At 38.1% G+C, this 20,473-nt stretch overlaps 1 protein-coding gene across 4 annotated transcripts in view; it reads right to left on the minus strand.

Annotated features, from left to right (window-relative positions):
* ADAMTS18 (ADAM metallopeptidase with thrombospondin type 1 motif 18) overlaps positions 1–20,473 on the minus strand; it is a 152,907-nt gene that overhangs the window by 66,404 nt on the left and 66,030 nt on the right. For 2 of the 4 annotated variants that reach the window (NM_001326358.2, XM_047433672.1), the window contains 7 exons: positions 18,906–19,192; positions 15,657–15,850; positions 15,271–15,354; positions 13,574–13,733; positions 10,787–10,892; positions 7,409–7,546; positions 5,202–5,355 (listed from right to left, as the gene is read on the minus strand). In NM_001326358.2, the coding sequence (NP_001313287.1) occupies positions 5,202–5,355; positions 7,409–7,546; positions 10,787–10,892; positions 13,574–13,733; positions 15,271–15,354; positions 15,657–15,850; positions 18,906–19,167 (1,098 nt within the window). In that variant the 5' untranslated portion in view covers positions 19,168–19,192. Of the gene's footprint in view, positions 1–5,201; positions 5,356–7,408; positions 7,547–10,786; positions 10,893–13,573; positions 13,734–15,270; positions 15,355–15,656; positions 15,851–18,905; positions 19,193–20,473 lie in introns of those variants that run through there. The other 2 variants (NM_199355.4, XM_047433673.1) reach the window with 2 other exon arrangements.

Here is a 20,473-nt window from a genome sequence, read left to right on the forward strand (position 1 = left end):
AACTGGTCAATCAGGTAAGTCACTCCTGCTGCTTTGAGGAGGGATGAGAGAAGAGGCAGAGGGGACATCTTCCACTTTATGGAAGTGGGAGTGCTAAAACATGTGAGCTTTGGTTATCACTGTAAGCCCAATAAATAACACTGAGTATCTGATATGACATCCAGCACATGCTAGGCATGGCAGATACTCTCTACCAATAGAGGCAAGAGATGTGTATACACAGTTAAAATGTATCACAAGTTTATAAAAGGGACACATAAGCTGGAATTGGAGCCCAGAGAAATAAATGTTTAAATCTCCCTGAGGAAATAAGGAGGTAACACTTGAATTGAATCTTTAACAACAATAAAAAAATGATTAAGTGTCACTGGGTGGCCACACAGCATACTAGAATAACAAACATATACAAAGGCTTGTAGACACGGAAAAGGAAATATTTGGAAAACACACAAGAAGATCAACATCACTGGAGCGTAAGTGCATGGGGGAAAGTTAATAGAAGTTAAAATGGCATGCAGTAAACTTGGTATGTTACAAAGTAATAGTATAATAGTATCAAATAGTATGATTCCATGCTAGGAAGTTTCTAATTATTCTCCATTCATTAATCCTGATGTCAAATTCTTAAAGAAGTGTGAAAGGAAGTTAAATGTTGGAACCCCAAACTCATTAAGCCAAATAGAAAAGTCAAGCTGGGAACTCGGTCACACAAACCTGTCTCCCCCTTTCGGTTCCTAAATAAGATGGCTACAAGATGAAAAACTACACACCTCCCCCATATTTTGCCCACAAGGAGATTCCTAGTGAGCTGTTAAAATTTCACCATGGCAATGGAAATTGATAGCTTATCTTTACAGGTGCAGTCACCCCAGCCCACCAGACACAAATGCATATCTGATTGTTCCCCTGCCCCACTGTGTCTATATTTATCTTATGTAAAATGCAGTTTCACTGCATTTTTCCTCTGCCCCATTTGTTTATGTCATCTTATGTAAAAAAAAAAAAAAAAAAAAAAAAGCCGGTTCACTGAGCCAGACAAAGTCATGAATAACTATTGTTCCCTACCCTGCTCTTACATGAAAATCGTGTACTTCTCAATTTCCCGCCATTTCCCCTTTAAAGTTGGAGCCCTCAAAATCATCTTCAGGAAAAGGCATAGACCTGTCTCCCGGGTGCATCCTTAACTTTGGCAGATACATATCCTAAAATGCTTGAGACTTGTCTCGTCATTTTTCTTGATTGACAGAAGAAATATACACCGATCCTGCTATCCTTCCAATACAATGCTCTCTAGAATGATAGGCCTGAGAACATTCACAAGAATTTAAATATCTTCCCCACGATTTCTACTCAGCTTCAAACTCTCAGTGGGTCTATGAATAAACATTAAAACTGAGCTCCTGCTATGTGACAGTAACTGTGCTGGCTACTGAGGTACAGGGTCAGCTAAAGAGGATGCATTTGTTCAGCTGCTCACTTCTAGCTTAGTAAAATAACCAGCACAGAAGTCTCGATCAGTCTGTGACAGCGCTTGGGACCCTCTGACAAACAGCATCAGCTCACTCATGGAGTCAGTAAGCATTTCTAAAGTGCAGAATAATCAAATGGGCGCTCTCTCCACTTGTTACAGAGGGAATCCTGCTTTGAGTCTTTCCAGATAACAGAACCATTAGAAAGATTCGTAACTCATTTTCTTCAACACTTTGGATGAGAACAGAGATCAAGTCTGGCATGCTGAAGACACAGAAAACTCGTGGTTGGGAAAGGAGGGGAGGATGGGGATGAGTGATCCAAAAGAGCCAGCCCCAGAGCCTTTACCAGGGCAGCCACTGGGGAAGAAGAGTCAAATGTGATGGTGGTGATGATGCTGAAGACATAAGGAAGAGAGTTAGAAGAAACCGTATTGTTTATCAAGTGATGCGACTGTACCAAGAGATGAATCCTCACCAATGAGCCATGGAGGAACTATTGTAATCTTCACCTTTCAAAGGTGAACTCTAAGGCTAAGGGAGGTTGAGTCATTTCCCCAAGCTTATAGGAAATCTCGGAACAAAATTTTAAAGCTAGGTCTTTGTGACTCCCAAATCCAGAGATTTGTGTGTGCAAATGTGTATGTGTGAACGTTCAAAATTGAAGACTGTCTAACTCAGCGACCCTCAATCTTGACTGAGCATCAGGGTCATCTAGAGCTTTTGTTAGAATATGGGTTTCTGGGTCCTAGCCCCAAAATTTCTCATTCCTTAGGCCTGGGACGAGACATTTCTCACAAGTTTCAGGTCTTGCCGATACACTGCATCTGCTGGTCTGAGAGGACACTTTGATAATTAGTTCCTTTTCGTTGTTGTTCTTCTAATCACTATGCAACCCTTTCACTATGCAATGCTTTCTAGGAGGCATGGAGGAAAAAAAAAAGTAAAGTGAGGGGAAAAGATTAGAAAGTAATAATGGGACAATAAAAGCCCTGAAGACAAACTTCACCTCTTTCCTGCGTTGCCAGAGCGGGTCTAAACTGTTTCTACTAGACAGGATGAATAAGAGATTTTGTTGCTTTGGAAATCCCTCCTGGCTAGAGCCTGGCAATATTTATGATCCTCAGAGGTGTGGCCATGGGTTCAAGTTATAAGTAGGTTTAAAAACAATACCAAAAGCTAAGGTGTGGGGAAAACAAGCTTCAGAATCTATCAAACCACCCTACCTTCTCCATTAACCTCATCACCATCTTAAATCATTTCTCTCTTAAGCAAGTCTTTCTCACCTTCCCTGTCCTTGTTTGACTCAATCTTTTATTTTGGAATTTTCATTTCTCTTTGCTCTGCTTCCCATGAAAGACCATCAGAATGAGAAGCTGTCTTTTAAAAATATAGTGAGGTCCCAGAAAGCAATCTATAATTTAAAAAGGTTGTTTAAGCCCTGCACACTGCCTGACACAGACCAGGTACCCCACAAATACATGGTTCTGAAGGAATGATAGTAATTTTAGGAACCTCCTTTGTATTTCTGAAGAAAATTATACTTATTACCAACTGTGCTTTTGCTGCATAGTATGTAATAAATTTGTGATTAATAAATAACATAATGAATCCTTTAGAATGAAGTGAACAAGAGGCAAATTAGAATACAAACTTTTTCAACAAAGTGAATGGCTACTTAACTTCTGCCAAAACCATCAACTTAACAGGAAAATAGAACAGTCTGTTAATTTTTTTTTTCTTAGAAATAGGGTCTCAGTCTGTTGCCTGACTGTACTGACTGGAGTACAGTAGTGCTATCATCCTTCACTTCAGCCTCAAACTCCTGGGCTCAAGTGATCCCCCTGCCTCAGCCTCCCTAGTAGTTGGAACTACAGGTACGTGCCACTAGCCCAGCTAACTTTTTTATTTTTTGTAAAGAGAGGGTCTAACTTTGTTGCCCAGGTTGTTCTCAAACTGCTGGCCTCAAGTGATCCTCCCACCTTGGCCTCCCCAAATCTTGACATTATAAGTATAAGCCACTACACCCAGCCAATTTGTTAGTTTTTACAGAAGGCTCACCAGCATTTCTGAAAGTAAGCTCCATGTGTCATGAAGGATACACCAAAAAAATGTGAATGACATCCGGAAAATTTTTTAATAGTTATGCATTGAAACTGTAATAGAAAAAAAATGTAATCCCATCTCAAACCTATGATTTGATGAATATTATTTCTTCGGACTGGAGTTATGTTTTGAATGTGAATTGGTTTCTAGAAAAGCAATAAATGAATAATAATATAGAGATAACACAACTAAAATAAAGAAGGTAGTTATTAATGACTGAATATTAATGACTGAAGTTTAGGAAACACTAGTAATAGTGACTGGTACCAGTCACCGGTGAAGAAGAGGAAATTTCACATCAATGTGTGTGACTTGTTTTGTTAAATTCCACCATTTAAAAGTTTGTGGCTTTGGGCAAGTTGAAAATATTTTCTGAGCTCCAGGTCAAAAGCGGTAATAATTCTTCCTTGAAGGGTTTTTGTGAAGATTGAGGTAAAGTAAAATAAATCTTTAAGTAGAATGCCTTATGTGGGGCACAGGCTCACTTAGCAACTGCTGAAGATGATAGTAAATGGTGATAGTGATGGTGATGGTGGTGGTGGTGGCAGAGAAGGAGGAATAGGGAGAGAAAGAGGAGGAAGAAGAGGAACAGGAGTAGAGGGGGAAAGAGGAGCTATAAACCTCCATAATTTCCATGCATTTTTCAGTTACTTAGAACTTCCATATTTCTCTTTGGATATTGGGAATAAACCAACTTAAAAATGATTCTACTTTTTAGTATGGGCCGGGCGGGGTGGCTCATGCCTGTAATCCCAGCACTTGGGAGGCCGAGGTGGGAGATCACGAGGTCAGGAGATCAAGACCACGGTGAAATCCCTTCTCTACTGAAAAAAACACAAAAAATTAGCCGAGCATGGTGGCTACTCAGGAGGCTGAGGCGGGAGAATGGCATGAACCTGGGAGGCGGAGCTTGCAGTGAGCCAAGATCGTGCCACTGCCCTCAAGCCTGGGCAACACAGTGAGACTCTGTCTCAAAACAACAACAACGACAACAACAACAACAAATTTACTTTCTGGTAAAGTTGAGATTGTAATACTGTCAGTAAAATGTCATTCTTGACCAAGTGTAACAACGTGTCTCTCATTTCTATAACCTGGACTTTTGTACTTTCCCAATTATCTTTTTTATAATTCTTTGAAGAAAAGATGACACAAAAATCTTATTAATATTACTAAAGATGTACCTTGAATTTATAGACAATATTAAAAAAGCTAGCTGCTAATAGTTATCCCATATTATAAAAGGCATATAATGTATTTGGGTATGGTGATGATTTGAAACGAATTAAATTAACAGGGAATAGGATCATATAGAGAACAAAAGCAGTGATTAGCAGCAGGTACAAACTATTGTTCCCAGGTTTACTAGTAGGGATAAAGTCTTCATTTAAAGAGAAAGAATTTTCTACCAAGCAGTATTTAAACCAGGCATGGTCTATGTGGATAGGCCTGGATAATTCATTGACAGTAAAATTGCCACTTAATTATCATGCCAAACAACTGACACGGTAGAGATAACCCAGAACCTAACCCTTGGCCTTGGCAAACCAAATGTTTACACTTCTGTTAGGGACACAGACACATTGCAGAGTCTTAATGTAAGTTTGAAATCACAAGCAAACATACCTTCACAAAACCAAGGCTGCATAACTTGGCTTTTGCTCCAAATTGCCATTTACACTGTGTGTCAGCATCATAAATCTGTCCTGGTAGTTTGTCCGGATATTTATACTGTCCTGCTTGCTTGGGCTCATCCACTAGACACCCCGCCTGAGGTGTGCTGTAATGACAATACATGCTTATTAATTACTCTGTTGATCTGTGATCTTTCCATTTACGACAACACACTTCTGAATGCATTCATGCAAAGAAAAATATAGCATGGTTCTAGAAACAGGTATATGTTTAAAGTTCAAATCTATGTTTATGCCAAAGAGTGAGTCCTGTCTAAGAGGATGGAATGTACACAGCCAGGAAGGGTTTTACAGGATGCTGAAAATTCTAGTCATCCAAGTGATTTGGCTTGGGATTTGACAGGAGACAGGAAAGGTTAATACATTTGAAAACTCCCATCAACAATCTTATTCAACAATATTTGACAATTTGTACTGAGTCCCTACTCTGTGGCAAACCTTAGACAAAGCACTAAAGGTACAAAATAAACCAGACAGACACAGTACCTGTCTTCATGGAGTTTTAAATCAAGTATTTTCTTTTTTTAAACAGATAATGGAGCAGAGGTCAAAGATGTACTTTAACTCACAATAAGCCTTACAGACAAAAATAAATAACATTCCTAAAGAATCAAGAGGAATAATGAACTGGGGGATGAGGCAGAAAAATTTCCTTCAGATATGTTTGACTGTGACTTGTTGAGAGCAAAAATCAGTCCTGATGGCATGGATATTCTTAGCACCTTATCTCCACTTACTTAAATAATTAAAATGTGGTACCACCGAGAAGTTAATTATCATGGTGGTTAAGTGTAATTTTGTAGTGAGACAGATGGGGGTCCTAATCAACCATGCAACCAAGACCAAGTTATGTAGCTCTTACACAGCTCATGAGTGACAATGACTCTCATAAAGGTTGTTACACAGTTCAAATGAGAAAATATAACATGCTTCATAAAGCATAATAAGCAAAGTTAGCTGCTGCTGTTATCATTATTATAACATTTAACTACAAAAGCATTTAACTACATACTAACGGAAATTCAGCCTATGTTAAGTTGATCTTGATTTTAATACTTATTAATTGCATTCTTACATGAGTTGGAAAAAATAATTTTAGTCACCAAACCATGAATTTAAAACTAATAGGAAAATCTTCATGGCAAAGCTTACTAACAAAAAGTCTGTTGATTTTTTACCACCCTTTGGGCATATGTGGTTAGATATCTTCACGTTTAATATGCTTTGTGTATAGATCTTACTAATTCTTTAAACATTTGCAAATAATACACAGTGGTACAGGTTAAAAATAAAGTATCAAAAGTGTCAATTCCCAAAGAAATTTCACTAACATCTGTTCAAAGAGATATGGGATTAGCATCTAAGTGTCCTTGTGGGTCAATATAGATTATAAAGGTAGGATTGTGTGTGTGTGTGTGTGTGTGTGTGTGTGTATTTCAACTTTGGGTTAATTGTTTAATATGAATTAAATAGTACAACTTTCCAAACTCCTACTTTTACTAATGCAACTTAAGGTTTCTGTGTTATTAAAAGCATTTTATATAGCTACCATCTTCTTTGGCTATCATTTGGACATAAAGCTAGCTCCTGGCCATTTCAAACATAATAGTCAAAGAAGAAAATGCTCTATTCATTAAAACACAAACACACACTCATACCATTTGAGCATTTTTAAAATACTCTATGACACATTGATCGATAACATTGAAATAATTAGTCACAGTAAAAAGACAATATACCTAGCAGCCTCTGGAAGTCACAGGGGAGAGATGGTTGAGTAGAGATCCTAGAGTCAGAACAGATCTAAGTGTGAGTCTTCTGTCTGCAACTTACCAGCGATAGTACCTTATGCAACACAATTAACCTAAGACTTGATTTCTCAACTCTAGATTGAGGATAATAGTATCGCTGTGAGGATTGAAGGAGGAAATATGTGGAGAACATTTAGCACAACATTAGGCTTCAATCTATTTTTTTCAACAATGTCATCATCACCATCATCATTATCATCATCATTTGTCTTTCTGTTTATTGACAGGTCAAAAGGTATTTCCACTGAGTATTCGTTTGCAGGTCTATGGAGCACAATTCTGTCATCACTCCAAACCTAGGAGCACCCCAGGATTTAACCTGTCATACCTGAGGAATTTCTTGAGATACTGGCGGCTGCAGGAAGACCATGAAAACACTCCATTGTTTCCGGTCAGTGTGGGAGACATGATATTGCCTTCAGCCTTTCTGCAGGGATTCCCTTCTCCATCGTGAATCATACCAAAGCTGAAACAGAATGAAGAAAACAAAATCCTGCTTTGTGAACCCATTTTTTTGAAGGATAATCTGAGGAAGAATAAAGATGTATTGATCATCAACAAAACCAAGTGAGAGACAGAGTTATTAAAACTGGAAAAGAGAAAGGCAAATTACTATAGATTGTTATAAAATTCACACAGAAAACTTTAAAAATGCTGAGGGCTTTGTTATATTATTTCCTGACCACAGAATCAAAGAATGGTCTAGCTGCTACATGTTTTATGGGCTGGAAAATTTTGCTCAAGTTAAAATTTAGGTATAAGCTAAGCCAAAGTGATGGAACAGCCAAATTATTTAGTTTCAAACAGTAGAATTCTTATCTTGTCACCAACCACGGAACTATGGTAAAGAAGTTCAGAGTCAGTAGGAAGTAAGTACAGAGAGATGATGATTATAAGTTGTTTATGAACTGTTCATATATAAGGCTAGCATGGTATAAAAACTTCTCTCCAACTATGATCAATTTATTAGCTGAAATCACAAACTCTAATTGTAATTAAACTCTCTTATAATAAACATTTTTTTAACATGCTTGAACCCCTTTATTGAAGGCTATTAAATCTTGACCATTACTGTTATCTTTCAGATGTATTATATGAGAAAACTTTAATTTGTTTCATCACAGAAGGGTCTAGTAATTATAGAAGAAAAACTTTAGGTGGTCTACTGTCTAGAAATCATGCACATTATACCTGAAGAATTCTCAAATTTCCTGACAGGAAGAATAAATGTGACATTAATGTGCATACCCACATAGGATACATACCATAAAGACAAAGCTTACTTCAGGCGATGTTAAAGTGGTAGAAGATGGGGAAATAAGAGTCTTTGATCTTCTCTAAAAAATTCAGCACAGAGAAAAGTCTTTTCTGAAATTTTTTTTTTTTTTTTTTTTTTTAGGGATGCAGAGGACGGAAGGATATAAATATGAATTTCATCATTAATTTAAATTGTTCTTAATCTCATTATTTAAAAGAATAAAACTTGTGTCTTAGACCATATATTTATAAGGCAGATATGACTCCTATGTAAATAAATGTTATCCTGATATAATTTCATTTATAGAGTTCGCCTTTGAAAGTAGTCTATACCAAATAAATATGTTACGATAAAAGATATGACTTTTTTTGTGACCCATGTCTATAATATGGCCATTTTTCCAGCATTCCTTCCACTTTGTCAGGAAAATAGTAGCAGGGCAACTGTATGCTATCCTATCAGTGACTTCCTTAGGTATTCAGAGGTGACCACTCAAAAATAGGTATTGACTAACGTCAATGTATACTCAGTGAAAGCATTTTCTTATCCTCAGCTTTTCCCAATTTAATTCTTCTTCTCACCTAACCAAGACGTTAAGGGGATTTCTTTGGGAGACACCCTTTCTAAATATATTTGTGAAAGTAAAAAACAGAAAGAAACCTATAAATAAAGCACGAGAAGAAACAGCAAGAATCCCAGAAACAGAGATGGGGTAGGAGAGATTGAAGCCATTACGCTAGAGGAAAAGAACTTACTTAGAACTTCAGTGGAATTTTATGTGCGTAAGAAAATCAAGTCGGAATTTAATTTTGAACTTAACAATCTTAAATTTAATTTAATAGCATTTTAGAAGATGATAACATATTTTCTTTAGCACATGCCAAATGCCATATAAATATCTCAGGAATTGTCTGTTTCAGAACTTCTTAAGTCCATGTTATTTAGAACTTAGGTATGTATTTTATTTTACCATCTGTCCTTCCCCCAACCTCTGACTTCTCTCCTGAATCCTACCTGAAGAATATGTTCTGCTTTTCCTTATCTAAAATGTTGGATTTTGATTTTGGATAATTTTAACACATATGCAAAGATAATGAAATTTTTCAATGACCAGTATTTTGAAAAGTGACACCTGTTCGGTTGGACTTCATGCTGGTAAAACAAACTTAGACATACATTTGATATGCACACATATTTTGTTTCCTGCTTTGTATGAGAAGCATTGTTCTTAGTGAGCATTTTCGCTTCTCCATTTACAATTTTAAAAATTGGCTTATTCATATCTAGGAAAGTGTGCATGTGTGTCTAAATGTGTGTGTGTGTGTATAATAATGTTGGAAATTTGTTGGATAACAATAACAACAATGATCAAGGTTTAAATTTCCTAAAGATAATAAATGTAGCTCATAGAAGATACTGGCACTGTCCGGGCGTGGTGGCTCACACCTGTAATCTCAGCACTTTGGGAAACCGAGGTCGGCAGATCACCTGTAGTCAGCATGACCAACATGGTGAAACCTCATCTGTACTAAAACTATAAAAATTAGCCAGGCATGGTAGTGGGCACTGGTAATCCCAGCTACTCAGGAGGCAGAGGCAGGAGAATCACTTGAACCCGGGAGGCGGAGGTTGCAGCGAGCCGAGATCGTGCCACTGCACTCCAGCCGGGGCGACAGACGGAGACTCTGTCTCAAAAAAAGAAAAAAGATAGCAGCACCAACATATAAAAATACCAACTATGGTTACTGAATGATGTTTGCTTTTAAGTCAAAAATTAACTAGATGCTTTGAAAATATATGAGTTATTTCCTGTATGTTGAATAAAATATACACACAAGTACACACACACAAACATCCTAAACTGGTATATCTGAAGAGTACTACACATTGAAATAATTATTTTGTAAAGTATTATACTTGTTCCAATGCAGCTGCTATTGCTCTAATGTTTGAAAATTCTCTATAGCGTTGTCTCCATCATAAAAGGAAGATTTAGTGACACCAATCAAAAGAATATTAAGTACATGCAATGTTGCCAACTAAAAGAATATTCAGTACATGCAGCAAAAGTTTTTTTAAAAAGCAGCATGCCATTATACTTTGGGAATTAATTTTTCTCCATGATTACTTCCTGTGCATAAAGAATCAGCTAGAAGTGTCTTCATTGCTGCAAAACATGAACAAAAATAAACAAATGCCTAGCAGCCCAGAGACCCCATCTGTGCACACGAAGGAGTACTGTGTGGCTATTAAGTGCTGCTGTTTAAAGAGAATGAAATCAACAACAGCTAGCCTTTAGTGAGCCCTTTGTATAGTCAGAAACTATTCTAAGCTTTACACAAGACTGATCCTCTTTGTTCTGCCTAAGTCAACAACAACGGTTAGAGGAACACCAATGAATCACCCAACTAGTTTTCACATAAAGTAGTGGTTCAAAGAGGCACTTACTTGTGCCCTGACTCATGAGCGATGGTGAAGGCAAGGCCAAGTCCTGTGTCCTCATTGATGGTACAACTTCGGTACTTAGAGCACATTCCACTGATGGGGGCAAACCCTATTGAAAGAGCAGTTTCAAATGTGAATCCAAAGGTTGCACACACAGATACATGATGATGATTTATGTCCTCAAAATGTTCTACACAGTTTTAGTTTAATAGATCAATGCATTCAGTGTTTTTGGAAAAAAAAAAAAAAAAAGATCTATAGTTCTTTGTCCTGTGTAATGATAATGTATAAATGCAACATTTCCTATTTTCTTGCTTTTGTTACATATTGTTATCAATTGATCCTTGTAAGAGCCCTGTAAGGTCAGTATGAGTACTGTAATTCCCATTTTACATTTAGTTTAGTAAGTCACAGAATATTTATATGCCTTGTCTGAGTTTATCATTCAGGTCAGAGCAACGGATAGAATGATAGCAAAACCAATGCAAAATGCTCACTGAACAGTGGCATTAACGTCACAGCTCAGGGTGTATTTTCCAAGGAAAAACACATATCCTGGTCTTTTACTAGAGCAGAAAACATGAAAATGTCTAAGCAACATGTGCAGATTAAATTCATTTTTCTCTGGTTCTTTATAATGTGGTAAGTGCTTCTGTTCCCAAAGTTACTTCCCTCTAAGAGCCATTATAAAAGCATCCCGGCCAGCCCTTAAGTCTATCTTCAAATACAATACAGTGTGTGCGAACATCTTTCTTTCCAGTTTTGGGTCCTAATAATCAGTAGAACAAATCTATGTACCCATCTAATATTAAATGCATGCTTGTGAATGGATTGTACCCACTTCATTGTCAAGACGGAAGTGAGATCAGCTGGGAAATCTAATACAAAGGCACAAATAAGGGGTGGGATCATTATCATTACTACCATCGTCATCGTCACTAAATAAATGGTTGCAAATTCACACACTGTGCTATATGTCTATTATATATCTGTGTGTGTATGTATTTATAGCTTAGGAAACCAAAGCTCAGAGAGGTGAATTAACTTGTTCAAGATCTCAGAGTCATAAATTCTACACTCAGGAATCAACCACAGACATATGGGAAGTCAAAGCCCATGCCCTTTGCATTAGGACACACTGCTTAAAGTAAGTGACCTTTTCCACAGTTGATAGAATTTCTGGTGTTTTGTTTTTTCCAAGCCTTTTAGTACATTTTGGTCTCTGGATAACAGATAACACTGTCTGCTTCTCAGAATCTCTCTTGAAAACAATGCACTGGATTATCATATGTCACTTTGCACATTCCAAATTCAGAATATGAATGGATATATACCATCTTTCATTACAAAAACCCTTTCTATGGAACAATTCCCAAAATCATTGTGTTTTTGAAGACTGTGATTAATGGTTAATTGTTAAAATAAACTTATTTATAGGACATAACAGAGAAACTGCAGAGAATTTGAGAAACATAAAAAATAAAATTTCTGCCCTGGCACAGTGGCTCATGCCCGTAATCCCAGCACTCTGGGAGGCTGAGGTGGGTGGATCATTTGAGGTCAGGAGTTCGAGACCAGCCTGGCCAACATGGTGAAACCCGTCTCTACTAAAAATACAAAAATTAGCCAGGTGTGGTGGTGGGTGCCTGTAAACCCAGCTACTCTGGAGGCTGAGGCAGGAGAATCACTTGAACATGGGAGGCAGAGGTTGCAGTGAGCCGAAATCACGCCACTGCACTCCAGCCTGAGTGACAAGAACAAGACACCATCTCAAAAAAATAAAAAAAATTCATAAAGTTTTATTAAAACACATCTGCATTCATTTATTTACATATTACTTGTGGCTGCTTTTGAACAATACAGCTGAAATGACTAGCTGCCACAGAGACCTGTGGCCTGCATAGCTTAACATATTGACTGTCTGGCCCTTCACAGAGAAAGTTTGCTGACTCCTGATTTAGACAGCCATCCATCAACTTTTAAAAAATGTTGAATTCCTATTATGTGCAATGGAATATACTAGAATATAGTATAGATATAAAAGATGCAATTCTTGCTATCACTGTCTTGTACAAATATGGAAGAAATGAGTACTTCAAAGTCAAGTAACTTCTAAAAAAGGCACTGTTACCTAGTGGCACAGTTAGGTACCATGGAGCCCAGTAAAATCCTCTTCAGCTACCTGATTCTGTGGTCATGATGCTTACAGAATAACCTACAAGTTTCTAGTTAAATAATGTATCTCACACCTCAATGATCATCAGTAGGATCAATAAAGAAAAATACAAGCCAGGTGAGGTGGCTCATGCCTGTAGTCCCAGGACTTTGGGAGACCAAGGCGGGCGGAACACCTGAGGTCAGGAGTTCGAGACCAGCCTGGCCAACATGGTGGAAACCCGTCTCTACTAAAAATACAAAAATTAGCCAGGCATGGTGGCAGGTGCCTGTAATCCCAGCTACTTGGGAGGCTGAGGCAGAAGAATTGCTTGAACCCAGGAGGCGGAGGTTGTAGTGAACCGAGATTGTGCCATTACACTCCAGCCTGGGCAACAAGAGTGAAACTCCATCTCAAATTAAAAAAAATACAAAATGAATAAACTAAGTGGGCTCCCCACATTCTAAGTTCAGTTAAAAAGAACAATAGTCACCACAGGGTACATTAGGTTACTCCATAATTTAAATATTATGTCTGTTTATTAAGGAACATAAGGGCTATCCATCATCCATAGAAAGTTTCCATACTGTGTTTTCAGCTAACAGGTGTGTGTGAAGGATCTGTTCATACCATACCTAGAGTGTCACATGGTTCATTCTTCCAAGAACAAATATCAAATCCTGTTAGTAAGATGGCATGATCATGTCTCTTGCCATTCTTTCCAATGAGGGCAGACTGCCATTGACAAAAACTATTCAGAGACTGGTCTGCATGATGGTTGATCAATAATCCTCCCTATGGGAAACCCACACAAATCAAAGTGTGAATTTGTCACAGAGATGAGAATGCTGAATCATTCCATTTGTACAGGCAAACACAGAAACATATTTCTAGGGAAAAAGATCAGTAAACACTTGAGCTAAGGTAGGAGACAGGAAAATCTCTATTTTAGGTAAATGCTCACAATATTTAAAGCAACTACAAAGTTTCTGTAGTGTGATTTATGATTGATCATAGTTCTACAAAAAATAACCTAGCATCAGTTAGAACACCTTTGTTCATCTTACCTAGTACTACCTTTATAAAACCGTTACAACTTTTAAAACATGATAATAAATTAATGATGAAGTTCAATGGCTTTTCCATAAAGCCTCATCATTATTTCCATAGATGTCAAAATTCCCAGCAAAGCGTCTGGCACATCATAGATTACAATCAATCAATCAATATAATGAAAATTCACTGAATGAATAAACAAATGATGATATGATTCCAAAGGATAAGAGAGGACCTACCCTTAAAATAATCATTTGTCAAATGTTTGCTTGGTCAAAGCTGTTGACTTGGCCAAGTTGAAGGTTTTTAGACAAGATCTTTAATTATCAGTTAATTAGGATGTGGCTGGCTTCAAGGTCCTTGGGCAACCTATTAGTAGGCTAAAGACAAAAGTGTCTCCTAACCAGCACACGCCTTTTCTGTCTTTCTAAAATTCCAAAAACCATTTGACAAGCTGTTAACTTCTGTAGCTCTCCACACCTGGGCAATTAGATCAACTTTTGTCTTGTCTGTGTCTTCCTGCTTTTTATGTTTTTTACTGGCGTTACAGAAGAAGAGGAAAAGCCTCGGGGGACTTAAAAAATAGCCATTTGAATGGTAATCGCTATCTCAGAGAAACAGAGTTTAAACATCAAAACACTACAAAGCAGTGAGTACCATGTAATTTAACACTTTATTACATGTTCTGGTTTTCATAATTTGCCCCATGTTTGTGTCTTGCATCTTACTGTGATCAATCCAAGGACAGTTAAATATCCCTTGTTTATTCCCTGTATTACCTAAGATGGTACTGGGGATACAGTAGGTTTACTACAATAATTTTCTGATGTCTTATTTTCAGTATATTTTTGAAATATCCTTCTGCATCTACCAGCAATCACTCAGCATATCAAACTTGCAAAATCTAGCTAATCCTTAAATCTATGACCAAATTCACCTGCTTTGCGAAGCCTACATAAGATTTATTTTATGTAACATATTTATATTTCATATTTTTATTTATATTATCTATTTGTATATTATTTAGTACTTATGTACCATTATTTATGTATACATATGCATATATAAATATATTTAAATATAAATATTTTTCTGGTGCTTTAGTTTAATTGTGTGATTACACAATCTTTTAAAATTGTACTTTGAGGAGAGTCAGCCTAGTTTCAAATTTGAGCAGCTAACGACTAGTACATGGATTAGTGAACACAGTAGGTGTTCAAGAAATGTATTCTGAACGGCAGACTGAATGAAGACATAAATGAAGTTTGCCACTTACAGGTTCTTGTTCCAGAAGAATTAGGCTCACCACAACCACGTTTATGTCACTTCCAATAGTCCCATCTTTAAATAGGCCAGAAACCTGTTGGAACAATGGAAATCAAACAAAATCTCAAAATTTTCAAAACCTTAGGGGGAATCAATCAGACATATTGACTGAAGTACGCAGGCTTTAATTTTACCAAATATATGTACATATAAATACAATTTCCTCAAAACTCAACTTAAAAAAATAAAACCACATATGTAGCTATTAAAAGTAATGGCAGAAACTGCAATTACATTTGCACCGACCTAATACACCTGCTATTCAACCCATGCAAGAGAATTCCATGACATTTATTTTCTTTGGAGAGCCAGAAGGTTTGTGACACCCCCGCTTACCATGTTCATTACTGTGAGAATGTATGTGGTGACATTTCCCTTGCCATGCTTTTCCACCATTTTCTTGTCTGCCACCACGAGGGTTTCCACATTGAGGCCCTTTTGTGATTTTCCAGCTGATCTTCTGGGTCGCCCAGAGCTCCCATATTCATCAAACCTTAGATAGGTGTCCTCTGTGGGAGGCTTGGGAGCATCTACGATGAACAGAAGAGCATTTGGAAGGGATATTAGAGAATATCTGGATAAGACAGTTGAGAGAGAAACTGAAACAAGGGAAGAAGAGAAACTATGTAACCAACACACCACCAATCCACTAACAAGTGATGCTATCAGTGCCTGCCCAGGTGCCTTGCATCTAGTATGTGGTCAAGAAGGGCCTACTCAATAAATGTTTGGATGCACAGATGGGTAGATGGATGGAATGGACAGGATAGATGGATGGATGAGTGGATGGATGGATGGTGGATGGATAAATGGGTAGGTGGGTAGAAATAAATGGATAATGGATGAACTTAGTAACTCAAAAATGCTCTAAAAGGAAAAAAAAAGAAAGAAAGAAAAGAAAAGAAGAAAGAAAAGGAAAGCAAAGGAAAGCAAAGCAAAGCAAAGGAAAGAAAAGAAGAGAAAAGAGCTCTAGGCCAGGCGTGGTGGCTCACGCCCGTAATCCCAGCAATTTGAGACGCAAAGGTGGGTGGATCACTTGAGGTCAGGAGTTTGACACCAGCCTGGCCAACATGGTGAAACCCCATCTCTACTAAAATTACAAAAATTAGTCATGCATGGTGGTGCATGCTTGTAATCCTAGCTACTTGGGAGGCTGAGGCAGGCGGATCACTTGAACCCAGCAGGCAGAAGTTGCAGTGAGCCAAGATCACCCCACTGCAGTCCATAAGGAAGTCTCTCCTTTATGTCCTCAAAAGAAACACCCAACCACACCTACGCATTTACCTTTAAGATAGAGTCTCTGGGTGACAGAGTGAGATTTCATCTCAAACAACAAAAACAAGCTATAATTCTAGTTAGTAGAATGGATCAACAAAAATCAATTTTGTGGGGAGAAATTTTGAAAGCAGAAAATGCTCATTTTACTACTCAAAAACTGCAGAAATAGTGTTAATCCTTTGGATCTAAATTTATTATTTTTGAATTCATTAAATATACCACTTTATACATTATTTTCTAAATAAAATGTAAACAGCTCTAAAATAGTGGGCATGTCTTAAACTCTCATTTCATCAACACAGACTTTAACATAGCACATAAGAAGCACTCAGTAAGAACTCTTTGATGTGACAATGACTTAGTTATTAGGGAAACAGCATAGTTGGGGATGATATTAAAAACTGTATTAAACACTTTTCATAACTGGCAAAGGGTGCGCACCAAGTTAACAGAATGGATACTGGCCATAGCCATTGAGCAGAGACCTAGAAGTGCCTGCTCGGCCAGACATGATGCCTTTAGTTAATGGACAGCCACAACTACGAGCATTCCTGGGAAGAAAAATGGCACCTGGAAAGCTCAGGGAAGTAACTGTGTACTAACTAGTACAGAAATAGTTTAGTACTGTAACACTGGTCCAGCCGTAATAGTGAAACTAGCTCCCTACAGAGTAAAATTAAAAGATAAAATTATTTAGAGTTAGATTTAAAAACTCAGGTTGGCCACTTATGAGCACAGTGACGTTGAGCCTCAGTTTCCTTATCTATGAAAACAGGTGACACTTGTTTATAAGGTTGTTGTAAAGATTTGCTTTGATGTCTCATATCAAACATGTCTTACCACTATAAACATCATTACTATCATTAATACAGGCTAAATCATTACTCTATATATGCTAAATGGATGCCCCTTAATGGGGATATTTCAATAATACCAAAAACTCAAAAACCAGTTAAAATGGTAGAAACTCTTTCATTATTCCTCCTGATTAATATCTTAGTGATACCAGTTCCTCTTCTCCATGAGAATAAACTTCTTCTGGCTGTGGTATCCAACTTGGCGCACAGTTTCCATGCACAGCTACTGAGCCACAGAAGAATTTAAAAGTTTAAAAAGCAATACTTGATTCAGCTATTGAAAATCTTTTGGCTGGGCGCAGTGGCTCATGCCTTTAATGCTAACAATTGGGAGACCGAGGCGGGTGGATCACCTGAGGTCAGGAGTTTGAGACCAGCCTGGCCAACACAGGGAAACCCCATCTCTACTAAAAATACAAAAATTAGCTTGGCGTGCTGGCGTGCGCCTATAATTCCACCTAGTAGGGAGTCTGAGGCAGGAGAATTGCTTGAACCTGGTGGGGTGGAGGTTGCAGTGAGCAGAGATCGCGCCACTTCACTCCAGCCTGGGCGAAAGAGTGAAACTGTCTCAAACAAAACAAAACAAAAACAAAAACAAAAAAACAAGCAAAAAGAAAATGTTTTAAATGTTTTAAGTATGTCCCAAACAACTTGAGTATGTAAATCTACTTTTTTGACCTTAATTTTATACAAGTTAAATGCAGATTAAGTATTTCCAATAAAAATTTATCATCTGAATCGACTGGTTTAAGTGCTGTAAGTTTAAAATAAACGCTGGATTTCCAAAACTTAACAGGAAAAAATAATGTAACTCTCTAATAATTTGTTATCCTGATTACATGTTGAGATAATATTTTGTACATGTTGGGTTAAATAAAATGTTATTAAAATTCATTTACCCTTTTTTTTAACTTTTAAAACTTGTGGCTATTAGAAAATGTAAAATTGTATTTAAGGCTCGTGTTACATTTCTATTGGACATCGCTGGTCTGGAAACGGCCGAAGGTTGTAACTAAGTCACAAACCATGCTCAAGGATACCTGTGTTTCACAGCTACCTCCCTCACATGCTAATGTTCTTGTTTCTGGAAGTCTCTCCTTTGTGTCCTCAAAGGAGACATCCAACCACACCTAGACATTTACCTCTGTCTTCTTTTGTCATTGGAAATCTAGGTACTTTTCTCGGAAGCACAGAAATCAAGACTGGGACCTATGGCATGAAAGTAGGAGATACTAAAAGAGTAAAAAAGAAACCTTATCTAAATCTTTCCTAGTTTAACCTAGAATAATTGATCATCCAGCATTTGCCTGAGAGAGATAATTACTGGTCCTACACCAAGACAGATGCTCAGGGTAGCCCCATTTTGACTTGCAAAGCTTGTACACCCAACAGCACTCAGGAAAACCTGTCGAGGCCCACATAAGAACAGAAAAAGAAAAAGTTTCCTTACATACATTTCTTGCGTCGTCCACAAAAATGCTGCTTTTGCAACCTTCGATGGTGATACTCTGTCTCTCGACTCTGAGATGCATGGGGAATGTGACTTGGGGAGTAACCAGGATAATTCCGGCCAGAGCCGGGGTAGCCACGGTACCGCTGGATCTTCTCCTCTGCTGTCCTTTTGTACAGTACGTGAGGATGGTGACCCGCAGGGGAGCTGTAGTTGTGTTCCTGGGCCAGAAGCTGAGGTAATGGCGAGATGAGGAATTCATTTTTTCGTGTCCTTATTAAACCTGACTAAAAAGCCAAACACAAAGCAAACAGTCATGATTCCATGCATCCCTGTGCCAAGGGTTGGTTTTCAACAACTGCTTCTGACTAATTCCTGTATGTGGGCACAGGAGCTAAAAGCTTCACACATATTGCCTCATTTTTATCTGCACCATTACAACGAGTTGCTATTATTATTGAGACAGGTCTCACTTTAAAACCAAAGCTGGAGAGCAGTGGCACAAACATGGCCCACTGCAGCCTTGACCTCCTGGGCTCAAGTGATCCTCCCAGCTCAGCCTCTGGAGTAGCTGAGACTACAGGCACGTGCTACCACGGCCAAATCACTTTTACACTTTTTATAGAAACAGGGTCAATGTGGCCCAAGCTGGTTTTGAACTCTTGGCCTCCCAAAATGCTGGGACTACAGGTATGAGTCACCGTACCTGGCTGGACAAGTTGCTATTATCACCACCCCCATTTACAAAGGAGAAAATTGAAGCTAAGATAGTAAGTAGGAAAGCTAGCATGGGCACCCAGAGTTCTCTACTTTCAGAGGCAGGGCTCACAACCACTGGGCTGCCAGCCCTGATGTTTGTGCCTGAAGGGCTGAGCCATGGACATTCTGCTGCATTGCATTTATGACCTGGCAGATGCCATGTTCACCACTGGATAGAGTGATGAATATAAAAATACCCCCACTCATTCTCAAGTGGTTCACACTTGATTTTTCTTTTTTTCTTTTTTTTTTTTTTTTTGAGATTAGGTTTCATTCTGTCCCTTAGGTTGGAGTACAATAGCACTATCATGGCTCACTGTAGCCTTGACCTACTGGTCTCAAGCAATCCTCCTGCCTCAGCCTCCTGAATAGCTGGGACTACAGGTACACACCACTATGCTCAGAAATGCGGTCTATATTGCCCAGGCTCGTCTCAAACTCCTGGCTTCAAGTGATCCTCCTACCTCAGCCTCCTAAAGTGCTCAGATTACAGGTGTGAGCCACCAGTTCTGGCCCATCTTGATTCACAGTTGCTAAATCAATGTTTTTAAAAAAAATCAGCAAGGATGGCAGAGAAAGGCATGAGTGATGTGATCTCTAAGTGGGGGTCTAGAGAATCTGATGAGTGGTGCTATAATGAAGAGACATATTTACCAAATCAAGAAGAAAGGGGAGACCCTGGGAAGCCCATTTAATCACAATTTCATTTACCAAGTTGATGGCACAGTATGGATATCTTCGTACCTGATTTTGCAGCCAAGATGCACCCTTGTCTTTCTTTCAGCAAATGTTGTACTCTATCTTCTCTA

The sequence above is a fragment of the Homo sapiens genome, chromosome 16 (assembly GCF_000001405.40).
Source record: "Homo sapiens chromosome 16, GRCh38.p14 Primary Assembly".
In the NCBI taxonomy this organism is placed as follows: domain Eukaryota; kingdom Metazoa; phylum Chordata; class Mammalia; order Primates; family Hominidae; genus Homo; species Homo sapiens.